This window comes from Homo sapiens, chromosome 9, assembly GCF_000001405.40.
Source record: "Homo sapiens chromosome 9, GRCh38.p14 Primary Assembly".
Lineage (NCBI taxonomy): Eukaryota > Metazoa > Chordata > Mammalia > Primates > Hominidae > Homo > Homo sapiens.
The window spans coordinates 41779559-41798207 of record NC_000009.12 but is presented as its reverse complement, the minus strand read 5'-3'; the positions used below and the strand labels follow the sequence as shown (position 1 = coordinate 41798207).

Here is an 18649-nt window from a genome sequence, read left to right as displayed (position 1 = left end):
AGATGTTAAGAAGGTAGAGTAAGCAGTACTTTCTTTTTTTTTTTTTTTTTTTTTTGAGACGGAGTCTTGCTCTGTCACCCAGGCTGGAGTGCAGTGGCACGATCTCAGCTCACTACAACCTCTGCCTCCTGGGTTCAAGCAATTCTCCTGCCTCAGCCTCCCGAGCAGCTAGGACTACAGTCGCACACCACCACGCCCGGCTAACTTTTGTATTTTTAGTAGAGACGGGGTTTCACCATATTGCCCATGCTGGTCTCGAACTCCTGACCTCATGATCCACCCGCCTCGGCCTCCCAAAGTGGTGGGATTACAGGCGTGAGCCACTGCGCCCAGCCAGTATTTTCTTATTAACTGAATATCGAGGTAGAGGATGAGTGGCAGGAGAGATAGTGAAAAAAAGCTCAGGGTAACTCCAGGTCTGACTTACATAACTGAAGGGACATAATGCCATTTATTAAAACAGGGATGTCTGCAAATTATTTGATTGAGGAAACAGAGAAAATGAGTTCAGTTTTGCATATTTGTTTTTGAGACGTTTGTCTTTGGTGCTTAACTATTTGTATAGCATTTGCCCAGGAGATAGAACTGGCCAGAGATTTGGGGTTATCGCCAACTGAGACCAATAAGTAGTTTAGATCCTCACTATTCAAAGTGTGGTGTATGGCCCAGGAGCATGGACATCATTTGAAAGCTTGTTTGAAATGCGCGATTTCATCCTTCATCCCAGACCTATTGAATAAGAATATGCATTTTAAGATTCTCAGATAATTTATATGTACATTAAAATTGGAAACCACTGGTTTACATTACTCAGAATAATACATTGTGAAAAATAAGCTCAAGGATGGAACATGAGAGACATCACATTCAAGAAGCAGGCAGGAAGAATGGTTAGCAATGGAGACCAAGGAGGCACATTCAGAGACCTAAGAGGGTGTGGAAAAACGGTATCATGGAAGCCAGGGAAAGACAGGGTTACAAGATGAAAGGCTTAACACCTGAAAATTCCAGAGTCAGATGAGCTTGGATCTGACTACTGAGGAATTGACGGCTTCAATGTTTATAAAAGTGCGTAGACCCAAGGAAGTGGGTGGAGACCTGACAAGGAAGTGATGGAAGACTTTTTTTTTGGAGAAGTTTGGCCTTGAAGAGGTAATGGCCATGGCTGAGGGAGAGAGTGGGTGGATAGAAAGCAAGGTCTGAAATGTAGAATTGGTTTTTCTCTTCACAGGAAAAAATGTTGATCATGTTTATAAATTGAAAAGATTAAAAATATATGAAAGGGAAGACTGATGTTAATAATTGGACAGCATCTTGATTATGACTGAGTAAACAATGTGAGGATGGACTGCCTTTGAGCAGAAGGGTTTTTCCCTCCAAGCCTTCTCAGGTTAGAAGACAAGAACGTGAGCGTGATTGCATGCAAATATGGGTAATATCTTGATGTGGTTGGTTGTTTTAGAGCATGGCAATGGAGAGACTTTCTGGCTGATAATCAAATTTTCTTTGTGAATGAAAGGCAAAATCTTCTGAGGGGTGGTGAAGATTTGGTACAGCCATAGGAGAAATGGAAGAGGATGCTGAAAGTTCTGCAAAGCTGCTCCCGTGGCTGTAAATCATGAGCACCAACCTCACTTGGTGGGTGAATTCTTGTGGCAACACTCTATAGCCCAGGGACAGGAACGGGAAAAGTCATGGTTGTTTTGATCCAGTTTGAAAGTTGGAGTGTTATGGGTTGAAGCATGTGGAGAGTGCTGATGAACACGATCAGAACCAAAGAGAACAAATTGAAGCTTTGAGGGGGAAACTTGAAAGGGAGTGGAGGGACTGGCAGGATAAGTGAGATGAAAGTGGACACAGTTTAGAGTTTAGAATTTAGAAGGGAATTAGTTCTCAGTACTGGTACCACCTAGTGTGGGGTGGGTAAAGAGACCAGTGAGGGAAACTGAATATAATAGGGTTTCAAGTTACAATCCTGTCAGAATCAGTTTAGAAGTCATCTTCCAGACTCCAGTAGCCAAGAGACTTCACATCCGAGGCAGGAAAATCTCTGAAAGTATGAGTTCCAGTTTTCTTGTTTCTTATCACCTGCCTTTGAGTGAGTCATGTCACTCAAAGGCAGGTGACGAGGACTTGGAGACACTTGGAGTTCAATGGGCCTGACCCACTGAGTTGCAGATAAAAATTCACTTCTTTATTTAATTCTTAACCAATTAAATATGCAGTGAGTATGTAGGGTACTCAAAAATGTATTTCAACAGTCATCAGAGCTGCTATAAAGACCACTGAAATATGTCTTAATTATCACAGTTTGTCTAAGAAGACAAGGCTAACACATTTGAAATACGTACAAGAGACTACATAATTACAGGTAATTGCCAAATTATAAATATTGACTATGGGACAGGAGCAGTGGCTCACACCTGTAATTCCAGCACTTTGGGAGGCTGAGACGTGCAGATCATGAGGTCAGGAGATTGAGACCATGCTGGCTAACATGGTGAAACCCCGTCTCTACTAAAAATACCAAAAAAAGTTAGCCAGGTGTGGTGGCGTGCACCTGCAGTCCCAGCTACTTGGGAGACTAAGGCAGGAGAATGGCATGAACCTGGGAGGCAGAGCTTGCAGTGAGCTGAGATCATGCCACTGCACTCCAGCCTGGTGACAGAGTGAGACTCCATATCAAAAAAAATAAAAAATAAATAAATAAATAAATATTGACTCTGCAAGTTATAGGAGGTTATAGGAGTTCATGTGACTAAGTAAATCAAGGGGAGGAGTGTAATCAAGGCATCTGTCCCCCTGATAGGTAGACTTTGAATGGGTAGAGGAAATAAGAATGGGCAGGCATCTAAGACAGGCCAAATGCCCCAAGGCATAAATGAACATGGTATGTTTGTGTGGAAGAAAAGGGATGGGCCAAATAGATCTGAGGTGCTGAGTTGAAGTGTGTCAAATGATGCTTCTGTAAGGTGTGATAAGGTCAGATTATAGAAGGCTGTGCTAACCTAATGGAGAGAAAAGCTCACAGATAATAAAATGAGGGAGTCACTAGGTCTAAGCAGAGATAAAGAAATACAAACTTTCACAGATTATAAGCAATAGAAGATATTCTTTAAAAAATTAAATGCATACAAATGAAAATATCTGCATAAGAAGACTAGAGCTATATAAGGAACACAACGAAGTTGGGAAATATTGTGAATAATACTACCATCATGAAGACAACTCTCTATATTAAGTAAGTTATTTCAAAAAATAGGAGGAAATTCAAGAGCAGTAAAAAACAAAAGGAAAAAACTCTATTGTCAAGATCACATATGAGGTAATGTAAATAGTTTAAAAAGTGGGAAAAATTTTATCTATCTAATAACCATAGACATGCAAGTTACAGTAGTTCAAAGCACCATTTTATGTCTAATTACTAATAAAATCTCTCTGAAAAGATAAGCCTTTCCTGGCAGTCCTGTGGAGAACGGGATGCATCATGTGCTACTTGTGACCTTGTAACCTAATGGATGCATTCAGAAAGTAACATACAGATGCTATATAATTTGTAAAAATGTCATCCTCCTTTAACTAATATCTCACTACCAGGAATTTATCCTAAGACAAGATTTTTTTTCTTTTTTTTGAGACAGAGTCTCACTCTGTCACCCAGGCTGGAGTGCAGTGGCGCAATCTCCACTCACCGCAACCTCTGCCTCCTGGGTTCACACGATTCTCCAGCCTCAGCCGCCTGAGTAGCTGTGATTACAGGCGCCCGCCACCACACCCGGCTAATTTTTTGTGTTTTTAGTAGAGACGGGGTTTCACTGTGTTAGCCAGAATGTTCTCGATCAATCTCCTGACCTTGTGACCTCCGCCTCCCAAAGTGCTGGGATTACAGGTGTGAGCCACAGCGCCCGGGCGTTTTCGCTTGTTCAAGTGATTCTCCTGCCTCAGCCTCCTGAGTAGCTGGGATTACAGGCACGTGCCACCATGCCTGGCTAATTTTTGTATTTTAGTAGTAACGGAGTTTCACTATGTTGGTCAGGATTTTCTCGATCTCCTGACCTCGTGATCCGCCCGACTCAGCCTCCCAAAGTGCTGGGATTACAGGCGTGAGCCACCGTGCCCGCCGGCCATTTTTTTAAAATTATGTTTACAAGACGTTCAATGTTACATCGAAAAAGTGAAAACAGTCTAAATATCCAAGAGTAAGAAAATAGTTAAGAAAATTTTAACACCCAACATGAGGCGATAAGCTTCTGTTGTTATTAAATGTAATAAATATGAACATTTGTCAAACATGGACATGACAAATACATAGAAAAAACAAGATATAAATCTATATGTTCAATATTATTGGACATAGGTAGCATACGTCTAAACATAGAGAATCAAGCACTACAATAGGAGTGGGAAATGCAAGCTTCCTTTCTTAATGTCAGATGCCTGAGAAGAGAACACCCCCAGAGGATCACGGTGTCTGAAGAGATTACTCTGGCATTCTACCAGGACCGTCCCTCCATTTTCTTCTCTTCTTTATTTTGGTCTGAAAAGCCCTTTTCCTACCTATTTTATTTTTCTTCTGTATAGCATCAGAAGTATCTTCTTATTTATGTTGAATTTTGCATAGGATTTTATTTTAGGATGTATTTTCAATCTCAGTTTGTTTTCCTAGCTCAACATGTTTTGTTTGTTTTTGAAAATTCATTTTACTTATTTTTGTAACTCTGATTTTGAGTCACTACTGAGGATGCCATAGTATTTTTTTTTTTTTTGAGATGGAGTCTCATTCTGTCACCCAGGCTGCAGTGCAGTGGCACGATCTCGGCTCACTGCAAGCTCCACCTCCCAGGTTCACGCCATTCTCCTGCCTCAGCCTCCCGAGTAGCTGGGACTACAGGCACCCACCACCACGCCTGGCTAATTTTTTGTATTTTTAGTAGAGACGGGGTTTCACCGTGTTAGCCAGGATGGTCTCGATCACCCGACCTCACGATCTGCCGGCCTCGGCCTCCCAAAGTGCTGGGATTACAGGCGTGAGCCCCCTTGCCTGGCCCATAGTATGTTTTATAAGTGTTCTGAAATCAAGTAATAAGAGTTTTTTTTAATGAAGGTGAGATAAGTTTCTGGCAAATATAGAACTTGAGAATTAATGAAGTGTATACTTCTCATTTTCTACTCTAACCTTTTGAAATTAATACAATTTTAACATGAAATATTTCCATGAAATTACAAGAGAACTTTGATGTTTGTTTCTGCATTCTGGGCTCCCAGAAACATGGTGTAGCATGGTCTGACCTGCATATCTTTGGAAATTTATAATAGGTTTCATTGTCTGATCTTAACCAAAACCCAATCCTTAATAAAATAGCCCAGTATATATATGGTTTTTTTCCTCTACTAAATGAATTACAATTCTCTGCTAGCTACCAGCACAGGGAAAATTAAAGAGAAAACCTTTCTTTCCTTACAGTGCATGAATTCTACCAGTGTGGAAGAGTGAGAAGAACCCAAGCTTCAGAGTTTTACAGCCACAGGATCAGATTTTAGTCTATTCCACTACCCAAAACTAGGCAAGTTTTCTGGGGTCATCTAGCCTCTATGACCTCATCGGTAACAACAGGCTTCACTGTGGCTTAAGTGAGATAATGAGTAGAAATGGAATGGTTTGGGCCAGGCACAGTGGTTCACGCCTGTAATCCCAGCACTTTGGGAGGCTGAGGTGGGCAGATCACCTGAGGTCGAGAGTTTGAGGCCAGCCTGACCAACATGGAGAAACCCCATCTCTACTAAAAATAGAAAATTAGCCGGGCATGGTGGCATATGCCTGTAATCCCAGCTACTCAGGAGGCTGAGGCAGGAGAATCGTTTGAACCCAGGAGGCGGAGGTTGTGGTGAGCTGAGATTGTGCCATTCCACTCCAGCCTGTGCAACAGGAGCGAAACTCCATCAAGAAAGAAAGGAAGGAAGGAAGGAAGGAAGGAAGGAAGGAAGGAAGGAAGGAAGGAAAAAAAAAAAAAGAAATGTAATAGTCTGGTAGGGTGATTCCCAAACTGCTGCACATTAGAATGAAGTGGGAAGCTTTTAGAAACACAGCGTCCACATTGCACGCAACATCCATGAAGTCAAAATATTAGGCATGGGAACCAGGCATCAACAGTTTTTAAAGATCCAAGATGATTCCATTGTGCAGCAAAATTTGGAAACCAGTGCCTAGCACAAAGCAGGTACTCAGCAAAAGTCAACTTTCTTTATCTTTCAATGTGTCGTGTATTTGCCAGCTTTCGGGTAGCACTTCCTTATCTTCAATCCTTAAAACTCTGCAGCAGAGTGGCACTGCATAGGTAAATGCTACACTGACATCTTGCTGCATGCCGCACTTTACTGCAGTGGAAAATAATGAGGAGCTAGCCAATACCCATTATTAAAGTGTCACACAAGTGTTTCATCCCATCCAGTCACATTTTTCAGGGGCTTCCAATTCACACTTTCGTAAATGCGGCCGTTTCCTCTTCCTGTGACTTAGATGAGATGGAAACAGACATGCTCTCAAGTATCATATTAGCTTTTTTTCAGAACTTCTTTAGTTTTCTGATGAGGCATCTTTGCCTCCTATAAATGCACTTTAGACCCTGCTATACAGAAAAGTAAATTTTCTTACAACTGGTCTGAAGCATATGTATTATTCTTTTAGATCTGATGTATCAAATGCCCACGGCCCTAGGTATGCCTGTGTTTCTTTAATCTATAATGATCATTTTATACAATGTTCTGGCACCTTGCCCAGCACACTCCTTTACCTATAGCAGGTTTAGCAGGCTGGGTAATTGCCCCTTTTAAAGTTGTCTGCACTCAACACTGCCCTGTCTGGTAAATGCAATTAGAAGCAAATCCTTGGGTGTATCACCCCAGACTTTTTATTAAGCTCATATGGCATTCTCACTGCCACTATTTCTCACCAGGTTGCTCATTAACCACGGGCAGCCAAAGGTCTGGATCATATCAGACGGTGACTTTCCAACCCATGAGACTCCCTTGTTCACCTTAAATATAAACCACATAGAGAAGAAACTGGGGATTTGCATGCCTGAAAGCTGACGGTGGCCATAACAAAAGCAATAAACAGAAATCCTAGAGATAGTGATGACAGAAGAAATGTCAAGGAGTTAGAGGGAGCACTTTGTGTTGGCATTGAAAGCAGCCAGAAGAAGACTCAGAGTGAGACAGAAGTTGACTCATGCAACAAACCTTCACCACTGACAGTCAAAGAAAATGACTGAGGAGCGTCTCAATCATGTTAGAGGTTTATTTTGACAAGGTTAAGAACGCACCCGGGAAAAAGGAACACAAAACCACAAGAACAATCTGTGATCCATGCTTTTTCTGAAGAGGGCCTGCGAATTTTAGTATTTAATGGGAAAGAGCAAGCAGTAGGAGAAAGAGGAAGAAAAGAAAAAAGGGGAAGGGTAGATAAAAGGGGCAGGCAGTTGCATTCTGTTGAGTCTTTGATCAGTGTGCACTGAATCCACATTTCACATGTCAAAGGAAGGGGTAGAGAAATAGTCAATTATGCATTCATCTCACACTCAGTGAATTTGCATTTTTACATAAGATAAAATAAACATAAAGTAGAGGAAGTAATCAGATATGCATTTGTGAACCCAGAAAATCTGAGACAGGTCTCAGTTAATTTAGAAAGTTTATTTTGCCAAGGTTGAGGACGCATCCATGACAGCCTCAGGAGGTCCTGATAGCATGTGCCCAAGGCAGTTGGGGCACAGCTTGATTTTTACATTTAGGGAGACATGAGACATCAATCAATAGATATAAGAAGTACATTGGTTGGGTCTGGAAAGGCAGAACAACTGGAAGCAAAGGCAGGAAGACTCAAAGCTGGGAGGGAGCTTCCAGGTCACAGATAGGTGAGACACAAACAGTTACATTCTTTTCAGTTTCTGATTAGCCTTTCCAAAGGAAGTAATCAGATATGACTCCTTTGGTGCCGGGCGGCGGGTGGGGGGAGCTTTTAGTTCTATCCTTTGTCCTTTGTTCCGGGATCTGTGAAGATAGCTGTTCTCTTGCATTTTCTGGGTGAAATTCAACAGAACTGTTTTAGGGTAAAGATCTTGGGACCCACAAAGAATTTCGTTTTGAGCAAATTGTGAGAGAGGCATGTATCCTTTTAAATCTGTAGCTGTCTTATTTGGGAACAAAATGGGAGGCTGGTTGGCATGACCCAGTTCTCAGCTTGACTGTTCCCTTCAGCTTAGTGAGTTTGGGGTCCAGAGATTTTATGTTCCTTTTACAGCACCCAGGAGGAACTGAGCATAAGCCTATTTCTCACAGCTTTGAGGAGCACTAACTGAAGTGCTCAGTTAGCAGCATTTGAATTAATTATTTCACAGCTCATCCTTAACCAAATTATTTTTAATATGATTCTAAAACTGGAGTTTTACGTTAAGCTTAGTATTTTGAGGTAATCTTAGCAGCAGGTGGACCTTAGCTCACTAAGAGCATGAGAGCTCTTAGTTACCTCACTCATCAGCGGCTTGGCTCCTCTTTCGGAAGGCATAAAGAACCTCATCCATCAGTGCCCACATACTCCTGTAAGGGCAGGCCCCTTTTCTTTGCTTCTGGGAAACATCCATCTGGTCCTGTATTGCTGTCGTTCCTTTTCTGTCTGTTTTCCTATGCAAACCAATCTGTCATTCTATTTTGTTGCCCCATTTCCAAGTCACTTGACCAGATGGATAACCACATAAAAATGGCTAAGTAATTTAAGCTTAAAAATTAGGAGCAGGAAATAATGTAAACTGGAATAGTAAGAAAATGCTGAAGGTGAGACTTGTGGAGGGCTGGCATTGTGGACATCTTTAAGATATAAGGCTTTATTATAACAGTCAAAGCAAAGGGGACACGTAATTAATACAAGACTTTTTATCAAAGAGGAAAAGCTGTCATTTTCTCAGGAATCTAATACTATTCTAAGACTTAGGTTTAAAATGTATCAGGAGTGCCTTCTAAGTGACTGTGGAAAGGGGGAAATAGTAACCATATATTTTGAATGAGTGATTCTAGATCTTGGCTTCTATTTTATGCCTACTCTTCTCCCCTTGTCTCTTGTAAACTCACTTACAACCAGATCATAATAATAAAACTAGAATGCAGAGCGGCCATACAGTACAGTGACTAAGCACGCCAGCTCTGAAGCCAGACCTTTTGGTTGAGATCTCAATACTGTTAATTTCCTCATTTGAAAGACCAGGGTAATATAATCCTTCAAGAGAGGGTTGTTATTAGGGTGGACCTGATAAATAGGGTGGACCATATAATTTGTCATACAGATGGATGCTTTAGAAAGTGCGATGATGTTTACTTGTCAAATTATTATCATGCTATTTTGACTATATTTTCTTATATGCTTTACTTGGAATATTTAAATTAGCCCATATGTAACTAGAGTCTAAAATCCATAGTTCAGGGAAATTGTGGTTGTATTTTGTCCCTTTAAAAAACACAGGGGCATTGGTGCCTAAATCATTGACCCCTGCAAAATGCAACAGGTTGCGTGGAAGTGAAACATAATGCCTCCAACCTGCTAGTTATTTACACATGTTGACCTAAGGAACACACAAGCCAGATATTCTTTAGGTTATCTCTTTTTATTGTTAGACCACTGAATGGCAAAGTACTTGGTATGCATTAGATTTATTTACTGTTAAAAGATTTTCAAGAAACTACAATTTAATAACATGTCCTTGATTTTTTTTCACGAGTTGAAATAATAAATATACAGTATCTATTCATCTATCCTGGAAAGTCCCTGATAAAAGCACTGCGTTTTCTTAATCAGTTTCCTTTTCTGCAGAATAAATTTCTGTTATGCTTCTTAATCAGCAAAATGACAAACAAATTGAGAAATAACCTCAAACTTAACAAAACAGAACAAAGTCTTCCCTGAAGGTCTTGGAGAACCACATGAGATCAGATCACAACCCAAGGTCTGCCCTGAGAAATGGGGAAAGCCAGGGACCTGCCACACCTCCCTTCCTCTTGTCTAACCGGAGAAGAGAAACTAAACTTAATTTTCATGATCTTACTATGTTAGCCTCATATGTAATCATCTTCTCTTTTGTCTAAATGGTTCCCTATTTTCACCTTATACTTAACTATCATATATAGGGCTTATGAATACATTTATCTCAGATCCCATTCAGAAGTTGTAAAGGAATACATTATTAATAAATCAAATATTTCTACATTACATGGAAGAAAGTGTGGAACAGTTAAGAGGATGGTTACTGGTCCCAAAGAGTCCAGAGTTTAAACCCTTACTCTATATTATCTACATGATCTGCGCATGTCGCTTATTTTTAATGAGTTTTAGTTTCCTCATTTGCAAACAGCGTGACACTTGTCCCAAAGGATTGAACTGAGGATTTAGTAAGATAACAGGTGTAGAGGGTGTCTTCACAGTGCTGGGCTCGTGTCAGGCCCTTGATAAATATTAATTCAATTCCCCTTCTCCTGCCCTACTACCATCCTTCGGCTCAGAGCAGCCAAAAGCTGGAAAAATAGGCTCCACCCAGAAACTGTAACAAGATAACGATAAAGCACAGTTGGATGTATCAGGGGTAATCTACTGAGTTATCCCTGTTTTAAACTATTGTGTTTGCTTCTGTGCATAGGAGAATCACCCCATGCTGAAGGGCAAGTGGAACATTTGCACAGTTGCCCTTGGGAACATGAACAACAATAGTTCCCTTAGCCAAGCCTAGGGCAGTGTGGAGATGAGGGGCACATGGGACGCAGGTCCCTCTGCTACAAGCTTGACTGCCATCGGAAGCTGGGAGACACCAAAGGGTGGCCCCAGGGGCTCTCTGTCATCTTATGGTGACTCAAAAAATGCACATTCCTGCATTGATAACAATGGGTATTTTTATTACATGAAAATCTATGTACTTACTATTTGTGTTCTTCCCAACATTCAACTGACTTTTCTACCTGATGCAAAATGCAGGAGGGCTGTTCACGACTTCTTCCTCTCTTCCTCTTCTCCTCCTATTCTTCCTCTTTCTTCTCCTTCCTTCCTCCTTCCCCTCCTACTGATGTTTTTATTTCTATCAACAAAAATGAGAAAAATCACTTTCAGTTACAAAGTAAGTCTGAAACTATATCAAAATAATTTAGATCTTTAGTAGATTGAGAAAAAACACATGAACTTTTTCAACTTGCAGGAATAAAAATGTCAAGATTATTAACTCTGTTCTTTATTTTTAGTGAACTATAAAAAGGTTTATTGATAATTTCTGTTGAGCAAGATGACTTCAGAGTTTATATCATCTAGGCCTTAAGATTTACTAGAATTTTAATGTATCATTCTAAAGATGTGCTCACAGAATACCCCTCAGTGTTGCTTGACCGATAAGGGTACACGCTACAAACACGTGGAGAAAAACGTGCAGAGCTGTTCGTGGAAGAAATTAGTGGCCATTTAAATTCCTCACTTACCAAAAAATTAATAGATTCCTTCATCCTAAAGAGTGCAAGTGTATTTTAGGTCCATGCCATAAATATTTAAAACTATCTCATCTTACTGAAAATTTATATAACACATGACCTTTGCAAAATTGCAACCTTTATTCTTCAAGCAAAAATTGGTTTCTGCTGGTCACCACAATGTGCTTCTTTTGGACACCATGTATAACTGAGATTGAATTGTAACTGTTAGCAGTGGAGAAAGCCTGCGGAAAATCAACTCAATTGAATTTTGTGTTCACAGATGCTTTGAGTTTTACAGAGTCTTATATTCCATTTTCAAGTGCATCATTCAGGACACAGGCCCATTTTCCATATCCTAGATCACCCAACCAGTCCAGGGCTATTTCAGAAACTTTCCTGAGCATATAATATAGACCAACGCTAGGTTGTAAACTAAGTATAAAATTCTAAGCCCCCCAACCAACTGAACAGAAACTTCTTGGCCAAGAGGACCCCAGAGAAAACTGAAAAGCTGTTTCTGGCCCTGAAAGAAAGGGAGGTCAGACACACCTCATCATACCTCCTCTGTTTTGGAGTTTGGACTCAACAAGTAACCAGCAGCGGTGTTAAAATAGAGATCCTAAGACTGACAGAACAGACCCTGTGTGGCCATAAGATAACAAATTATGAACAAGCCCTAAGGCCATGCAAGGCAGGTGTAAGTCAGGCCTGCAGGCCATCAGGCTTGCTAACCAGGGCATTTTATTGTGGCTGACTCTGACAGAGCATTCTTACCTTCCTTTCTGTCAACTCTAAGCTGTAGACAGGGCCTTACTCCTTTAACCAATCACAAACCAGAGAATCCCCAAGTCCACCTACAACCTATAAGACGTCTCCTGAAGATAATCCCCCTTTTTGAACCGAACCAGTGTATACCTTCCATGTGTTGATGTCTTTGCCTGTAACTCCTGCCTCCCTGAAATGTATAAAACCAAACCAATCCGGCCACCTCGGAACCACTTACTCAAGCCTTCTTGGTTGCGTGTTTTCTCCAGGCCTCAGTCACTCATATTGTTTCAGAATAAACCTCTTTAAAATATATTACAGTTTGTTTTATCCATTAACAAAGTCAAGCAATTAGTTCTTAGATCTGCAAATATAACTATTACTGCACTAAAATAGATTAATGAAAGAGGATATACTAGATAAAGGAATATGAATAGCACAAAATGTGGCACATTTGTGGAACACAGAAAAGGGATTCTATGAGTTAGCCAGTTAAAATAACTAAGGCCATGGCCATTTCACATCCCAGGTCCAGAATTTGAAAGATCAAAGTATCTCCATAAAAAAATATATATTTTCCCCTTCATGCTTGAAAATGCAATAGGCAATGTTATAGTAAAGTCAGGAAACATGAGTCTGTCTTATTTCATTTCGGACCCTGAGTTGGCTGTTTCACATCTTTCCACCAATTCACAGGTGTGACTTTAACTGTCACTCATACCCTGTACTTTTTTTTTTTTTTTTTTGAGATGGAGTCTTCCTTTGTTGCCAGGCTGGAGTGCAGTGGCGATCTTGACTCACTGCAACCTCCAACTTCCCAGATTCCAGCGATTCTCCTGCCTCAGCCTCGCAAGTAGCTGGGATTACAGGTTCATGCCACCATGCCCAGCTAATTTTTGTATTTTTAATAGAGACAGGCTTTCAGCGTACTGGCCAGGATGGTCTCGATCTCCTGACCTCGTGATCCGCCCACCTCAGCCTCCCAAAGTGCTGGAAATAAAGGAATGAGCCACTGCAACTGGCCGCCCTATTTACTTTTAAATATATATTTCCAGTCCAGACTTTTCTTCCATGCCCATACTTGAATATTCATGCATCTTCTGAATTGTTTCCACTTGGATTTTTCTCAGACACCTAAAATTCAGCCTGTCATCAATTCTATCCATCATTCTTCCAAATCCTCTTCCTGCCCCTGAGCTCCGCCTCCAAATGCCTAGCAGCATCATTCCCTCCTGACACTTCCTTCTTACCACCCCCCCACCTATGCCCTCCTGCCACAATTAAGCCTCCTACACCAGATGAGCTCTTTTCCTTTAGTGACACCACTGGCTTCCAGGGTCTGGTCAGCTGTCCGGCAGGAAGCAGCATAACCCAGACTGGCCCAGCATGAAATTCGGGTGTGGTGTTTTGTGCAGCAACACTCACAGGAGACGCTGTCCTCTGCCCGTCACAGCAGGGGACATGTCAGCTGTCCCTCCCAGGTGATGCTACATCCAGTCATGGGGGAAGGACTGTCGCCAGCTGCTCCTGCGTAAGTCCCCCTCCCCTTTGTAACTGGTGGTCCTAGGAGCGTGAATATCCTGTTCCCCAACAGCCCTTAACTCAATGGCTTTGGCACCCGAGTTAGTTGCCTGTGGCTGCTGTAACAGATTACCACAAACAACACAGGTGTGTTCTCTCCCAGCTCTGTAGACCGGAAGTCTAAAATGGGTCACACCGGGCTGAGATCGGTGTCGGCAGGGCTGCATTCCTTCTACCAGTGTTCCTGGGTACATGTGTGGCCCTTTCCTCCGTTTCCAAACCCCATCCCTCCAAGCTCCGCGTCCATCACTGCATCCCCTCCTCAGGCTCTGAACCTCCTGCCTCCCTCTTAAAAGGACCCTGAAGATCACCAGGGCCCACCTGGATAATCCAGGGTGGCCTCCCCATCTCCAGGTCCCTCACTTAGCCACATTTGCAAAGCCCCTCTTGCCATACAAGGGGACCTGTGATTACAGGTTCTGGGGCTTAGGATAGGCACTTGCCTTGGGGATGCTATTCAGCCGACTTCAACATCCGCTGCTGATCTTCACCTGAATGTGTTCATTCCAGGGGGAGTGCACAAATGGGGACTTTCAAACCCATCGCCTCTCCCAAGTTGGCTGGATTGTTCTAGGAGGAAGTGCTCCCTCCTTCTAGGGCCGCCATGGACTATACTGTTCATCCAATGCTCTTCATCCTATGTCTCAAATTTGGCCACCAGAGCCCCTTCCACCTGGCCTTTTTGGCCTGTTGAGGCATGCCCGTCTGTCCTCAAGTGCGTCCGCCCTCCTGGCGCGACGCGATCCATACTCTGGCTCATCCTGTGCCCACCTCCACCCAGATCTGGACTTAGGCCCCATCGTGCCGCACAGCTTCGGAAACCACCCGTGTGCCTGTGTGCTTGGGTAGCGCCAATGTTAGCTCCTTTCAGTGGTTAGAGACAGAAAATGGATTTTTTTTGAATTATGAGTTATTGCTGCCGCTTCCGGTCCAAGCACAAGCCCCCAGGAACCCTCTTTGTTTCCCGTTCCACATCCCTATCTCCCGCCTCCCAGCGAGAGAAAGAGTCCTGGTTCCGAGGAGGACCACCAAGCTGCTGGGGGTGACCAGCCCTTAATCCACAGACAGTGGTTTCAGACGACCACAGCAGCGCTCCTGCTGCGACAAAACCAGCCTGCGACGCGGAGCTGCGGGTCCCCACAGCCAGAGGCCCCTTCGAAAGCCACTTCCATTCTTGTTTCCATCTGGTGTTGCTGTCAATTGTTTTAGGTTCATTGATTTCTGTTTGAATTCAATGTTCAATTTTTTTGTGCTTGTCAATTTAATTCTATTTCTGAACGTGTAAACATTTACGTGTTTCAAAAGTCAACACATATGTAAAGGATTCTCTGACTTCTCACTCCACCCAGTCCTCCCACCTGGTGGTTATTTATGTGTGTGTGTAGTTTCTGTATGTAGTTTACATGTGTGTGTAGCTCGTGTGTATGGTTTATATTGTGTGTACAGTTTGTGTGTGTGGTTTATGTGCATGTGCATACTTTGCATATGTAGTTTATATGTGTGTAGTCTGTGTGTTTAGTTTATGTGTGTATAGTTTGCATGTGTAGTTTATATGTGTGTAGTTTATGTGTGTATACTTTGTGTGTGTGGTTTATATGTGTGTGTGTAGTTTGTGTGTGTATGATTTATATGAATGGGTAGTTTGTGTGTGAAGTTTATGTGTGTATAGTTTGTGTGTGTGGTTTATATGGGTGTGTATAGTTTGCATAGTTTGTATGTGTGTGTATAGTTTCTGTGTGCAGTTTATGTGTGTGTAGTTTGTGTGTGTGGTTTATATGTGTGTGTAGTTTGTGTGTGTATCATTTATATGAATGTGTAGTTTCTGAAGTTTATGTATGTGTAGTTTGTGTGTGTGGTTTATATGTGTGTGTAGAGTTTGTGTGTGTAGTTTGTGTGTGTGGTTTATATGTGTGTGTAGAGTTTGTGTGTGTAGTTTGTGTGTGATTTATGTGTGTGTAGTTTATGTATGTGTAGTTTGTGTGAGTGGTTTATATGTGTGTGTATAGTTTCTGTGTGTAGTTTATGTATGTGTAGTTTGTGTGTGTGGTTTATATGTGTATCATTTCTGTGTGTAGTTTACATGTGTGTACTTTGTGTGTGGGATTTATATGTGTGTGTATAGTTTGCATGTGTAGTTTATGTGTGTGTACTTTGTGTGTGTGATTTATATGTGTGTGTATAGTTTGTGTGTGCAGTTTACATGTGTGTACTTTGTGTGTGTGGTTTATATGTGTGTATAGTTTGTGTAGTTTATGAAAGTGTACTTTGTGTGTGTGGTTTATATGTGCGTGTAGTTTGTGTGTGTAGTTTATGTGTTTGTGTATAGTTTGTGTATGTGATTTATATATGTGTGTGTGGTTCGTGTGTACTTTATGTGTGTGTACTTTGTGTGTGTGGTTTATTTGTGTGTGTATAGTTTGTGTGTGCAGTTTACATGTGTATACTTTGTGTGTGATTTATATGTGTGTATAGTTTGTGTGTGTGGTTTATGAATGTGTACTTTGCGTGGTTTATATGTGCATGTAGTTTGTGTGTGTAGTTTATGTGTGTGTGTATAGTTTGTGTATGTGGTTTGTATGTGTGTGTGGTTTGTGTGTAGTTTATGTGTGTGCACTTTGTGTGTGTATAGTTTGTGTGTGCAGTTTACATGTGTGTACTTTGCGTGTGTGGTTTATATGTGTATGTAGTTTGTGTGTGTAGTTTATGTGTTTGTGTATAGTTTGTGTATGTGGTTTATATGTGTGTGTGTAGTTTGTGTATAGTTTATGTGTGTGTACTTTGTGTGTGTGGTTTATATGTATGTGTATGGTTTGTGTGTGTGGTTTATATGTGTGTGTGGTTTGTGTGTATAGTTTGGGTGTACTTTGTGTGTGTTTTTATATGTGTGAACAGTTTGTGTGTGTAGTTTATGTGTGTGTGTTTTGTGTGGTTTATGTGTGTGTGTGGTTTATGTGTGTAGTTTGTGTGTGAATAGTTTGTGTATCATTTATATGTATGTGTAGTTTGTGTGTGAAGTTCATGTGTGTGTAGTTTGTGTGTGTGGTTTATGTGTGTGTACTTTGTGTGTGTGGTTTATATCTGTGTGTAGTTTGTGTGTGTAGTTTACGTATGTGTGTAGTTCACAGGTGTAGGTGTAGTATGTGCCGTGTGTGTGCATGTGGGTGATTTGTGTGTGTATAGTGTGTAGTTTATATGTGCATGTATAGTGCATGTATGATTTGTGTGTATAGGTTGTGTGTGTAGTTTATGTGTGTGTAATTTACATATGCATGTGTAGTGTGTCTGCCTTTGTGATTTCTGTGTGTAGTTTATATATGCCTGTGTAGTGAAGGAATGTGTGATTTTTGTGTGTATAGTTGACGTGTGTGGTGTGTGTGCGTGTATATGATTTGTGTGTGTGTGGTTTAGATGTGCATGTATGGTGTGTGCCATGATTTGTGTGTGTGTATTATGTGTGTGTATGATGTGTGTGATATGTGTGTGTGTGGTGTGTGTGATTTGTGTGTGTGGTCTCCATGTGCATGTGTGGTGTGTCTGATGTGTGTGGTTTGTGTGTGCGGTTTAAGTGTGTGTGTAGTGTGTGTGATTTGTATGTGGCTTACATGTGCGTGTATGGTGCATGTGGTGTGTGATTGTGTGTGGTTTACATGTGCATGTGTGGTGTATCTGATGTGTGTGATTTGTGTGTGTGGTTTACGTGTGTGTGGTGTGTGATTGTGTGTGTGGTTTACATGTACGTGTGTGGTGTGTCTGATGTGTGTGATTTGTGTGTGTGGCTTACGTGTGTGTGTGATTTGTGTGTGTGGATTGCATGTGCATGTGTGGTGTGTGTGTGTGTCCCCTTACACCCCCTTCTCACCCACCTGCAGACGCCCTCGGCGCTGCACCTGCCACACTGAGCAGCCTGTCTGTCCTCCCGTGCTCCGACTCCCTGAGTTCTCCCCAGTCCCCCCAGGCCCCCTAGGCTCCCCAGGTTCCCCACGGCCACATGATGCCCCGCGCTGTGGCTGTTCCCATTTGCACAGCCCTGCCTGGTGAATGAGCACTCAGGTCGTTCCCAGTGTCTCGCTGTGACAAATGAGGCTGTGCTGCATCCCTCAAGCATGCACTGTTCCCTGTTTGCAGAGGTGTCACCTCGGGGGAAATTCCTAGAAATCGAATCGCTGGGTCAAGGGGCAAAGCCAGTGTAATTTTGTTAGCTACTGCCACCTTCCGCTCCCTCGGGTGGACAGTTTCCCTCCTAGTGTCTGAGGGAGCCAGTTTCCCACGGCCTCCTCCACCGCAGTCGCGCTTTTGAATCGCTGCCAGTCTGATATGTGAGAAACTGCATCTCTGCATAGCTTGTACTTGCATTTCTTTACTACGAGCCTCTTTCCCTATATTTCAGAGCCATTTGTAATCTTGTTCTACACATTCTGTCCATGGATTTTACCTACTTCTCTGTAGAGTTTCCGGGGTTTTCCCATTGGCTTGAGTGAGCCACGCACACAGGGAGCCAGAGGCAAAGGGGACGTGAGACCTGCCCACGGGAGGATCAAGGAGGCCCCACAGACGGCCTGGGGAAGCCCACCCAGCTGGGAGACAGTGGGCGCGTCGCCTTGGCTCTGGAAGCAGGCGGAAAAGCAGAAAAAGGTCACCCCAGGAAATTCCAGTCACAAGCCCACCTCAGGGGCAGTGTGGCCAGAACTCACGCTCACTGGATGACTGGAAAAACCCCAGGCCAAAAATTTAGTTTGAGGGAGTCCTGGCAACCCAAGCTTCTGGGAGAAGCAAAGGCAAAACCTTTCCAGAGAAAGTCGTTGGAAACTTG

At 42.3% G+C, this 18649-nt stretch overlaps 1 long non-coding RNA gene across 1 annotated transcript, besides 2 other annotated features; it reads right to left on the bottom strand.

The window, feature by feature from the left end:
* Positions 7243 to 7443: a silencer, noted in NCBI's record as "peak7248 fragment used in MPRA reporter construct". NCBI's record gives its function as "represses an SCP1 promoter by STARR-seq MPRAs in K562 erythroleukemia cells {active_cell/tissue: K562}" and the evidence as "EXISTENCE:reporter gene assay evidence [ECO:0000049][PMID:32103011]".
* LOC124902163 (uncharacterized) lies at positions 7672 to 11103 on the bottom strand. Its single transcript, XR_007061522.1, has 2 exons — positions 10958 to 11103; positions 7672 to 8078 (listed from the first exon to the last, which is right to left on the bottom strand). It is a non-coding gene; the product is annotated as an uncharacterized LOC124902163 (long non-coding RNA).
* Positions 7705 to 8287: an enhancer, noted in NCBI's record as "NANOG hESC enhancer chr9:47195462-47196044 (GRCh37/hg19 assembly coordinates)". NCBI's record gives its function as "activates a minimal SCP1, AML or CMV promoter by ChIP-STARR-seq in primed H9 embryonic stem cells {active_cell/tissue: H9 hESC(primed)}" and the evidence as "EXISTENCE:reporter gene assay evidence [ECO:0000049][PMID:30033119]".
* Positions 11104 to 18649: the final 7546 nt, after the last annotated feature.